The sequence below is a fragment of the Homo sapiens genome, chromosome 7 (genome assembly GCF_000001405.40).
Source record: "Homo sapiens chromosome 7, GRCh38.p14 Primary Assembly".
Classification (NCBI taxonomy): Eukaryota; Metazoa; Chordata; class Mammalia; order Primates; family Hominidae; genus Homo; species Homo sapiens.
In genome coordinates, this window is record NC_000007.14 from 152,707,704 (window position 1) to 152,720,325 (window position 12,622).

The following is a 12,622-nucleotide window of genomic DNA, read 5'->3' on the forward strand; positions in this document are numbered from 1 at the left end:
GTTTCCTCAATGTTTAAAACTTCGTGTGAGCCCAGAAACATTTCTGAGGACCACATCACTAGGGCACAAGTTTACATTTAAAGGATTTTAAATAGGAGAAAAGAGATTTTCTTTCTCTTGGAGCTTCTTTTTAACTCTAAGAAGTTGCCAAACCTACTGAACTCTGCTACTGAGTTTGCGAACATGAGATACTTGTTTTCCCCAGTGTGTGCCACAGCACAATAGGTGACACAGGCTCTCGTAACCTCCGCTGGCGTTGTGGGTATGTGACCCATACAAACGGGCCCCACGCTTAGGAGTCCCACACTTGGTTCAAGACTTCAGTTGCTATCTTGAAATTCTGAATGCTTTCTGACCAGGGGACATGCATCTTCATTTTGCACAGGGAACTGTGAATTATGTGGCAGGTCTTGGATGTAATAGAATTTGCTACCTTTGCTTCTGTTCTCTTCTGCCTATTTCCTGCCCATCGTCTATGTTTTTGGTTTGGTGCTATGCCCTAAACCTTACCCAGAAAAAAGAGTCTTGGCAATGGTAACAGAAATCTGCCCCATCTTTTGCCTCCCAACTCCAGAGGAGTTTGTGTCCTCTTTTGATTTTATTTTTTTATTTTTTATTATTTTTAATACAGGGTCTGGCTCTGTCACCCAGCCTGGAATGCAATAGCGCAATGATGGTTCACTGCAGCCTTGACTCCTGGACTCAAGAAATCCTCTTGCCTCAGCCTCCTAGATAACTGGGACTACAGGTGCACGCCACCGTGCCTGGCTAATTTTTTATTTTTGTGGAGACAGGGTCTCACTATGTTACGCAGGCTGGTCTTGTACTTCTGGGCTCAAGCAATCCTCCCCACTTGGTTTCCCAAAGTGCTGGGGTTAAGTCATGAGCCACTGCACCCCAGCCGCGTGTCCTCTGTTGAAGTGCACCTGCCAGGGTCACCACACAGTGACGATAGCAAGGCCTGTGCATCCTCACGGTTTGTTTTGTCATCACTTAGTGGCTCCTTTCCAGTTACCATGTTTATACCAGCACTATCTTTTTTTTTTCTTTGAGGCAGAGTCTCCCTCTGTTGCCCAGGCTGGAGTGCAGTGGCATGATCTCGGCTCACTGCAACCTCCGCCTCCCTGGTTCAAGCGTTTCTCCTGCTTCAGCCTCCCAAGTAGCTGGGACTACAGGTGTGTGCCACCGCGCCCAGCCAATTTTTGTATTTTTTGGTAGAGACAGGATTTCACCATGTTGGCCAGGCTGGTCTCGAATTCCTGACCTCAAGTGATTCGCCTTATAATCACTTGTGTGCTCGTCTGATGTGATGGCATGGTAAGAAAATGAGACTGGGCCGAGCGTGGTAGCTACTGCCTGTAATCCCAGCACTTTGGGAGGCCGAGGTGGGCGGATCACCTGAGGTCAGGAGTTCGAGACCAGCCTGGCCAACATGGTGAAACCCTGTCTCTACTAAAAATACAAAATATTAGCCGGGCGTAGTGGCAGGCGCCTGTAATCCCAGCTACTTGGGAAGCTGAGACAGGAGAATCACTTGAACCCAGGAGGCAGAGGTTGCAGTGAGCCGAGATCACGCTGTTGCATTCCAGCCTGGACAACAAGAGCAAAACTGTCTCAGAAAAAAAAAAAAAAAGAAAAGAAAAGAAAAGAAAATGAGACTGGTTTCCAGAAGCCATTCAATAGAATCAGCCTCAGGTTTTCTTCTTTGTATATAGTCACATGAACTAGCTGATTAGACATCTGCCGTTGGGAGACAGTTTGAGGGGCATTACCAACACTTTTGCAGACCAATAATGAACATTCCCAGTGACCCAGAACAAACTCCCAGTAACCCAGAAACCACTTTTCAGTGACTGCAAGAAGAAAAGCTCTACCGTAAAAAGCAGAAAGCTTTCTAAATGACCATAGAATCACCTTTGGAAAAGTTGCCTTAGGGCCAATTTTAGAAGTAGACAGGTTCTCAGTATTAGGGCCTTAATGACACAATTACCACCACCCTCCTTATTTAGTCAGATTCATTAAGCTCTTGGTTTCCATGAACTAAATCCAGCCCTTTTGTTGGTAGTTGAGGTAATAAATGGTAAATGGCACCTTTCTCTAGCACCCATTTGATTAGTTTAAAATGACCTCATACTAGTGTCACAGACTAGTGTGACTCAGCCTGATGTCATCAACTCCTCTTAAATGACTGCTAATTCCCCATGGCAATCAGCACCTTCCCAAAAGCTTCAGCAGAGAAGAGTCTTAAAAGCCTTTTGTTCTAACTTCTTTTTTTTGGACATCGTACAATAGGCTTTAGCCTTGGGTTAATTGTCTCTGTGGACATAGTAAGTCTTTAATGTTTAGTGTCTTGCATGCGAACAACTTGTTGAGAATAAGCCACCCCTTCGGTTCCAGTTTTTAGTAAAAGCTGTCTTCTAATAAGACTGAATGGAATAAAAAAATCAAAATCCAAGAACCAGTTTACTCTGTTAGAGAATGTTAGTCAGTGTTCCAGTTCATGAATTATTAATAATAACACCTGACATTTGTCTTGTTCTTCTCCCTTCATCAAAGCACTTTCTCATTTATTATCTCATTTGACCTTGCCGTGCACCTTTCAGACAATGGGGAAGGCACTGTCACAGCAGGGACTAGCGAGATGCTGGTGAGTGGTGGAGAATGCCACATTTAGCAAGAGGTAGATGCTTAGAAATCTTTCTCAAAATCAGCAAGTAATACCTTAAAATAAAAAAAAAAATGGGCTGGTGATCTGGGAAATAGAGGAAACAGGGGCAAAGAGAAGCAGGAAAGAGGAGAAAAGGGAAGGAAAGAGGGAGGGAGGAAAATTTATATTAATGGACATCAAATCTCAACTCTCCAAACCTGAAGGGAAACATAGTAGTTTTTTAAAAGAATTAATGGATGTTAGTTTTAAATGGACACCTTCCTCTTTTTACAGAAAATTTCTGGGCTGTTTGACATCACCACTGAGAGCAGCTAGAATTTGAATGGCGGGGATACTTTAAAAGCTCAGAACTATAGCCAGGCGTGGTGACTCACTCCTGTAATCCCCAGCACTTTGGGAGGCTGAGGTGGGTGAATCGCTTGAGCCCAGAAGTTCAACACATCTGGGCAACATGGTGAAACTCCATCTCTACCAAAAATACAAAAATTAGCCAGTCTCATAACCTGGTCTCAAAAAAATAAAATGAAAGCTCAAAAGTGTAAAATCAGAGGACAAAAGCATGCACATAGGGAAAGAGTATGTCTGTGTAACAGCCAGGGTCCAACTGACCTTAAGGGACAATGATTCATCTGCTGTGTAAGGTCCCATCCTTGGATTTTACAGTATCTGTAGCTACCCCCATCTCATTCTTTTTTTTTTTTTTTTTTGAGACGGAGTCTCGCTCTGTCGCCTAGGCTGGAGTGCAGTGGCACCATCTCGGCTCATTGCAACCTCCGCCCCCTGGGTTCAAGCAATCTCCTGCCTCAGCCTCCCTAGTCACTGAGATTACAGGCACCTGCCACCACAGCTAATTTTTGTATTTTTAGTAGATGCAGGGTTTCGCCATGTTGGCCAGGCTGATCTTGAACTCCTGACCTCAGGTGACCCTCCCGCCCCAGCCTCCCAAAGTGCTGGGATTACAGTCGTGAGTCACCGCAGCCGGCCATCTGATTCTTCTTCATGGGCAGTAACCTGCCGCCATGTGGTGAGAATGATCTTTTACCCACACCGTGGGCGCTAGCTTATTTCTCTGTGACTTAGTCATGCCTGGCCTATTACCTAGTTGAATAGATCTGCGCTGTGTTTGACTCTCAAGTAAAAACACATTCTAAGGTTGATTTTGAGGCAGGAGAATATGGCCTAAGGCGCAGGAAACCTAAGGACTTCCTAGAACTAAATCAAATGGAAACACTCCAGCTATGGCAGGAAATATCCTCTTCATTTACATAGGGTATACACCAAGTAAATAACTTTGTAACTGCAGTTTAGCCTCTTCATTTACATAGAGCGTACACCAAATAACCAATGGAAACCTCCAGAGGGTATTTAAACCCCAGGAAATTCTGTAACCAAGCCCTTGAGCCACTTGCTCGGCCGCTCCCACCCTGTGCAGTGTGCTTTCATTTTCAACAAATCTCCGCTTTTGTTGCTTCATTCTTTCCTTGCTTTGTTTGTGCGTCTCGTCCAATTCTTTGTTCAAAACGCCAAGAACCTAGACACTCTCCACCTGTAACAATTTGGCAATCTGACAAGATTGAGAATTGGTGTTGACAATGAGATGTTCAAAAATAATATGTGCTGGGTCCGGCGCGGTGGCTCACGCCTGTAATCCCAGCACTTTGGGAGGCCGAGGCGGGCAGATCACGAGGTCAAGAGATCGAGACCATCCTGGCCAACATGGTGAAACCCTGTCTCTACTAAAAATACAAAAATTAGCTGGTCTTGGTGGCAGGCGCCTGTAATCCCAGCTGCTCGGGAGGCTGAGGCAGGAGAATCGCTTGAACCTGGGAGGCAGAGGTTGCAGTGAGCCGAGATCGCACCACTGTACTCCAGCCTGGGTGGCAGAGCTAGACTCCATCTCAAAAAAAAAATAGTGATAATGATAATATGTACTGGATATGTGTCCTGATAGGGTTTCCTCAAGTAGCCTGGCTGGCTAGAGAATAACAATCAATCAATACTCAGTTGTTTATTGAGCATTTTATTTTGTGTTCTATATGGTAATAGGTGCCAGTAATAAAGGCTTACATTTAACAAGTGCATCATTGGCTTCTAAATCATGTTCATAATTGTTTTCCCGCAATCTCATTACCTCTGAGGTGGGTGACAGTGTAGGTATCATTCACTCCTTTTGGCATGTGAAGAAATGGGCACTCAAGGATGAAGGGACTTGATAGAGCCTCTGTTTTCTATTAATGACCAAGATGTGCCAAGATATGACCTGACCCTTCCCTTCCTTTCCCTTCCCTTCCCTTCCTTCCCTTCCCTTCCCTCCCCTCCCCTCCCCTCCTTTCCCCTTCCCCTCCCTTCCCCTCCCTTCCCCTCCTCTCCCCTCCCTTCCCCTCCTCCCCCCTCCCCTCCCCCTCCCTTCCTCTCCTCCCCCCTCCCCTCCCCCTCCCTTCCCCTCCTCTCCCCTCCCTTCCCCTCCTCTCCCCTCCCCTTCCCCTCCCTTCCCCTCCTCTCCCCTCCCTTCCCCTCCTCTCCCCTCCCTTCCCCTCCTCTCCCCTCCCCTCCCCCTCCCTTCCCCTCCTCTCCCCTCCCTTCCCCTCCTCTCCCCTCCCTTCCCCTCCTCTCCCCTCCCCTCCCTTCCCCTCCCCTCCCCTCCCCTCCCTTCCTCTCTTCTCTTCCTCCCTCCCTTCCTTCCTTCCTTCCTTCCTTTTCTTTATTTTTTTTTGAGACTGAATCTCATTCTGTCACCCAGGTGGGAGAGCAGTGGCATGATCACAGCTCATTGCAGCCTCATTCTCCTGGGCTCAAGCGATCCTCCTACCTTGGCTTCCCAAAATCCCAAAATGCTAGGATTACAGGCATGAGCCACCGCAGCCAGATATGACCTGTTTTTTTTTTTTTGTTTTTTTTTTTTTTGAGATGAAGTCTTGCTCTGTCACCCAGGCTGGAGTGCAGTGGTGTGATCTTGGCTCACTGCAACCTCTGCCTCTCAAGTTCAAGCAATTCTTCTGCCTCAGCCTGCCGAGTAGCTGGGACTACAGGCCTGTGCCACCATGCCTGGCTAATTTTTGTTTTTAGTAGAGACAGGATTTCACTGTGTTGGCCAGGCTGTTCTCGAACTCTTGACATCAAATGATCTGCCCGCCTCAGCCTTTCAAAGTGCTGGGATTACAGGTGTGAGCCAGCGCACCCGGTCCAGATATGACGATTTCTGTTGACTCCCACTGCCTAGATATTTCACCTAGAAAGATTTGTGTTGTTTTTATTTTGTTTTTTGGTTTGTTAGCTATGGAATCTTTATACCTAACAGGGTTGGGGAGGGAACTGCAGACTCTTGATCAAGAGTTTCAGTTGGAATGAAAGGTCAAATTGTAACAGAGCTTTAACCCAATTGGTAGACAAATTTGTAGGGTAAATATGAAATGATAAGGAAATGAGTAAGGATATATTAGCATGGTAACTAAGGACTGGAAATTATGGGAGTTTATGTGTAACTTTATTCTTTTTTATTATTTTTTTTAGGGAATAGAACATGCATTTAGTAGTTTCGTTTCAATGAATTTTTATATATGTGTACAGTGATGTAATCCCCATCCCAAACAAGATATAGAATATTTCCAGCTGGGTGCAGTGGCTCACACCTGTAATTCCAGCACTTTGGGAGGCCGAGGCAGGTGGATCACCTGAGGTCAGGAGTTCAAGACCAGCCTGGCCAACATGGTGAAACCCTGTCTCTACTAAAAAAAAGTACAAAAATTAGCCAGGCATGGTGGTGCACGCCTGTAATCCCAGCTACTCAGGAGGCTGAGACAGAAGAATCGCTGGAACCCGGGAGGCGGAGGTTACAGTGAGCTGAGATCATGCCACTGCATTCCAACCTGAGAATGTTCTTTTATTTTCTTCCCAGTCAATATCCACTCTCCCCATCCAGAGCTAAGAGCAATTCAGAATTCTATAACCATATATTAGTTTTGCCTATTCTTAGCCTTCAGATAAATGGAACCAGACAATTCCTACTTTTTGTGTCTGTGTCTTTTGCTCAACATCATAGCTGTGAGATTCATCTTGTTGTATATGCAGCAGTCATTTTTAATGGTTATGCAGTGTTCTATTGAATGACTATGCCATTATTTATCTATCCATTTTACTGTGAATAGATATTTGAGTTATTTCCAGTTTTGGGTTTTTATAAAAAAGCCACTATGAAGATGTTTGGGGTTTTTTTTTTTGAATGTTTTTGAACTTTGAATTTTAAGTTTTGTAAGTATATAGTAGATGTATATATTATATTTATGGGGTACATGAGATAGTGTTTTTTGTTTGTTTGTTTGAGCCAGAATCTCACTCTGTCACCCAGGCTGGAGTTCAGTGATGCGATCTCGGCTCACTGCAACCTCTGCCTCCTGGGTTCAAGCAATTCTCGTGCCTCAGCCTCGCGAGTAGCTGGGGCTACAGGTGCCTGCCACCACGCCCTGCTAATTTTTGTATTTTTAGTAGAGATGGGGTTTCACCATTTTGGCCAGGCTGGTCTCAAACTCCTGACCTCAAGTGATCTGCCCACCTCGGCTTCCCAAAGTGCTGGGATTACAGGCATGAGCCACAGTGCCTGGCCCATGAGATATTTTGGTATAGGCGTGCAATGCATAGTAACCACATCATGAAAAATGTGGTATCCATCCCCTCAAGCATTGATCCTTTGTGTTAGAAACAATCCAATTTTACTCTTTTAGTTATTTTAAAATGTACAATTAAATTATTATTGACTACAGTTATCCTGTTGTGCTAATACTAGGCCTTATTCATTCTTTTGCTATGAACATTTTCATACATGTCTTTTGAAGTATGTGTGTTTCCCTCATCTTGGATATATACTTAGGATTGGAACTGCTGGGTCACAGAGTAGACATATGTTAAAATTTAGCCATTACTGTCAAACAGTTTTCCAAAGTGGCTGTATTGATTTACACTTACACCAGCAACATCTGAGATTTCAGCCTCAGGAACACTTGTTCCTGGACCCAGACGCTCAATCTGATTGAGGTGGGATTCCTTTGGCAGAGCTAGAGGTGGTATTTTGTTCTTTCATCAGACAACACATAATATCTGTTTTTCTCTCTTCTTTCATGTTAGCAGCTACTGAGACCCAGTGTCTAGATCTATCAGTTCATTAGAGGTTGCAAAATGGTGACATTCTAATTCTTTAATCTATAAACTGAAATAATTTCTTCTTTTTTTTTTTGAGATAGAGTCTGGCTCTGTCGCCCAGGATGGAGTGCAGTGGCGCAATCTTGGCTCACTGAAACCTCCGCCTCCCGGGTTCAAGCGATTCTCCTGCCTCAGCCTCCCAAGTAGCTGGGATTACAGGCGCGTGTCACCACACCGCTTGGCTAATTTTTGTATTTTTAGTAGAGACGAGGTTTCCCTATGTTGGCCAGGCTGGTCTCGAACTTTTGACCTTGTGATCTGCCTGCCTCAACCTCCCACAAAGTGCTGGGATTACAGTTGTGAGCCACTGCGCCCAGCCTGAAATAACCTTTTTTTTTTTTTCTTTTTTTGAGACAGAGTTTCGCTCTTGTCGCCCAGGCTGGAGTGCAATGGTGTGATCTCGGCTTACCGTAGCATCTGCCTCCCAAGTTGAAGTGATTCTCTTTTCTCAGCCTCCTGGGTAGCTGGGATTACAGTCATGCACCACCACGCCCAGCTAATTTTGTATTTGTAGTAGAGATGGAATTTCTCCATGTTGGTCAGACTGGTCTCAAACTTCCGACCTCAGGCAATCTGCCCACCTTGGCCTCCCAAAGTGCTGGAATTACAGGCGTGAGCCACCGCACCCAGCCTGAAATAATTTCATAAGAAGCTACCCCTGGGCCAGGCGCAGTGGTTCACGCCTGTAATCCCAGCATTGTGGGAGGCCGAGGCCAGGAGATCACTTGAGGTCAGGAGTTGGAGACCAGCCCGGCCAATATGGTGAAACCCTGTCTCTACTAAAAGTACAATAATTAGCCAGATATGGTGGTGCAAGCCTGTAATCCCAGTTACTCAGGAGGCTGAAGCAGGAGAATCCCTTGAACCCGGGAGGTGGAGGTTGCAGTGAGCTGAGATAGCCCCACTGCACTCCAGCCTGGGCGACAGAGTAAGACTGTCTCAAAAGAAAGGAAAAAAGAAGCTACCCTTCACCTAAGTACCTCATTGGTAAAGTTCTTACAGGAAAGGCAGGATACATGTTTGATTATTTCCTTTTATTTGCTAAGTTTTCAAATAATGAATTAGTTTCTTATTATCCTCAGAAGGTAACCAATTAAAAACATATATTATTGTGGCTGGACACACTGGCTCACGCCTGTAATCCCAGCACTTTGGGAGGCCGAGGTGGGCAGATCACTTGAGGTAGGGAGTTCAAGACCAGCCTGGCCAACATGGTGAAACCCCGTCTCTACTAAAAATACAAAAATTAGCTGGGTGTGGTGGCTCACGCCTGTAATCCCAGCTACTCAGGAGGCTGACGCAGGAGACTCTCTTGAACCTGCGAGGCAGAGGTTGCAGTGAGCAGAGATTGCGCCACTGCACTCCAGCCTGGGTGGCAGAGTGAGACTCTGTCTCCAAAATCAAATCAAATAAAATAAAAATAAAAACATATATTATTGTGAATTTATCTATTTAAGCATAGTTGTTGATTGTTTATGGTTTTCAGAGACAGGGGCTCGCTGTTTCCCAGGCTAGAGTGCAGTGGCAGGATTATAGTTCGCTGTAATCTCAAACTCCACTCCTCCTGCCTCGGCTTTCCAAAGCACTGGGATTACAGGTGTAAGCCACCATGCCCGGCCTACGTGCTGGATTTTAATTCATTCTAATTCCTATTTTTCCTGAAACTCAAATGGTCCAGTCTCTGGCCACCGTGGGCTTCTTTAGGTCCTTTTGCCATAACTTTAGTGGTCTTTCATAGTGTCCTTGCTTTCTGATATGTCAAGATGTTCCAAGCTTATCTTGTACATTTCCTGCCTCAGATTGGGAACTAGCCATTTCCTGAAGATGCTCTGATTTATTTATGTATTTATTTATTTATAAAATGAGACAGGGTCTCACTATGTTGGCCAGGGTGGTCTCAAACTTCTGGCTTCAAGCAATCCTCTCACCTTGGCCTCCCAAAATGCTGGGATGAGAGATGTCAGCCACCGCGCCTGGCCTTGCTCTGATTTATTTCAATGGGAAATAGTTTGCAAGACTATGATCTAAGAAGGAGACATGCTTTCTCCTACTGGGTTGTTCATTGTCTCTTGACTTTTCTATTGGCTAGAACTAAAAATTATATATTTAAAGATAAAAATACCTCATGAGCTCATATTAATATTTAAAATACAAATTTTGGACTACAGTGGTTTTCCTTAACCTCTTTTATATTGCATTTGTATCTTATTTCTTCCACAGCAAGGATTTTGGTTCTCAAGGGAATGATGGAATTAGAATAGCCCAAACTTACTCAAGGAATTAAAATATCCCACAACTAAACACAATACTGTCAATATAAAAATAATAAATAGATAAATAAATAAATAAATATATATATATATATATAGAGAGAGAGAGAGAGAGAGACAGAGTTTCACTCTTGTTGCCCAGGCTGGAGTGCAATGGCGGGCGAGATCTTGGTTCACCACAACCTCCACCTCCTGAGTTCAGGCCATTCTCCTGCCTTAGCCTCCCAAATAATTTTTTTTTTTCAATGGAGTCTTGCTTTTTTGCCCAGACTGGAGTGCAGTGGCACGATCTTGGCTCACTGCAACCTCCACATCCTGGGTTCAAGCTACTCTCCTGCTTCAGCCTCCCGAGTAGCTGGAACTACAGGTGCACGCGCCACCACACCCGGCTAATTTTTTATATTTTTAGTAGAAATGAGGTTTTGCCATGTTGGCCAGGCTGGTCTCAAACTCCTGGCCTCAAGTGATCCGCCCACCTCGACCTTCCAAAGTGCTGGGATTACAGGCATGAGCCACTGTGCCCAGCCACACTTGGTCTTCATTCTACAACTAACTATATTTAGTTGTACATGTTCACTGTTCACTCCAGTGTCTATATCTAGACATTCTGGTGTTGGGCGCTCCATCTCTAGTAGCTTCCTTAGGAAGGGCTAATGAGAACCATATTCCCGGTGGAGGTTTGTGCCATTTGTGCTTGAGGATTGGTTTTACTGACAGAAAATCCTTGGCTCACAAGAATCTAGTTCGTTTTCTTCTGGTATGAAGTATCACTGCCAGTAGTTTGATTAGAATCTAGTTTTCTTTCTTTTTTCCATCATATGTGTTTTACCTATATGTTCAATGGAGGGTTTTTAAAGTTCTGTAGTTTTACTAAAATATACTTTGGTGTGACTTATTTTGGTCAATATTTTCAGGTGCAGGGGTTTTTCTCTTAATATGCAGTTTTAAACCTTTTAAAATTTAATCTCAGGAAAACTTTCCTGATTTATATTATTTACTATCTACTTTGGTTTTCTTTTTTTTTCTTTTACTTACTTGTGTATTTATGTATTTATTTATTTTTTGGGGTTTCGCTCTTTCTGCTCAGGCTGGAGTGAAGTGGCGCGATCTTGGCTCACTGGAACCTCCATCCCCCGGGTTGAAGCGATTCTCCTGCCTCAGCCTCCTGAGCAGCTGAGATTATAGGCACCCGTCACCACACCTGGCTAATTTTTGTATTTTTAGTAGAGACGGGGTTTCACCATGTTGGCCAGGCTGGTCTCAAACTCCTGACCTCAGGCGATCCACCTGCCTTGGCCTTCCGAAGTCCTAGGATTACAGGCGTGAGCCACAGCGCCCGGCTTTTTTTTTCCTTTTAAGTTTTTTTATTTTTAATAGAGACAGAGTCTCCCTGTGTTGCCCAAGATGGTCTCAAACACCTGGGCTCAAGTGATCCTCCCACCTCAGCCTCCCAAGTAGCTGGGACTACAGGCATGTACTATTGTGTTCAGCCAGGGTTTTTTTTGTTTTTGTTTTTGTTTTTGTTTTTGTTTGAGATGGAGTCTCACTCTTGTCACCCAGGCTGGAGTGCAATGGAGCGATCTCAGTTCACTGCAACCTCTGTCTCCTGGGTTCAAGCTATTCTCCTGCCTCAGCCTCCCAAGTAGCTGGGATTACAGGTGCCTGCCACCACGTTTGGCTAATTTTTGTATTTTTGGTAGAGATGGGGTTTTACCATGTTGGCCAGGCTAGTCTCGAACTCCTGACCTTAGGTGATTGGCCCACTTCAGCCTCCCAAAGTGCTGGGATTACAGGCATGAGCCACTGCATCCAGCCATGTTCAACTAATGTTTTAAATCTACTTTTTGTAGAGACAGGGTCTCACTATGTTGCTCAGGCTGGTCTTGAACTCCTGGGCTCAAGTGATCCTCTCACCTCAGACTCCTAAAGAGCTGGAACTACTGTACCAGCCTTTGTCTATTTTTTTTTTTTTTTTTTTTTTGTCGAGACGGAGTTTGGCTCTTGTTGCCCAGGCTGGGGTGCAATGGCACGATCTCGGCTCACCGCAACCTCCACCTCCCGGGTTCAAGCGATTCTCCTGCCTCAGCCTCCTGAGTACTGGGATTACAGGGATGCGCCACCACACATGGCTAATTTTGTATTTTTAGTAGAGACGGGGTTTCTCCATATTGGCCAGGCTGGTCTCAAACTCCCGACCTCAAGTGATCTGCCCACCTCGGCCTCCCAAAGTTCTGGGATTACAGGTGACTTCTACTCTGTTCTTTTTTTTGTTATTATTGTAAATTTTCTCAAGAATTTTTGGTTTCACTGTATAAGTTGCTCTGTTGGTTTTTACGTGGGGATTTGGAACATACAAAAACTCTGCCCAGGGCTGGGCACGATGTCTCACGCCTGTAATCCCAGCATTTTGGGAGGTCGAGGTGGGTGGATCGCTTGAGCCCAGGAGTTGGAGAACAGCCTGGGCAACATAGTGAGACCCCCATCTCTACAA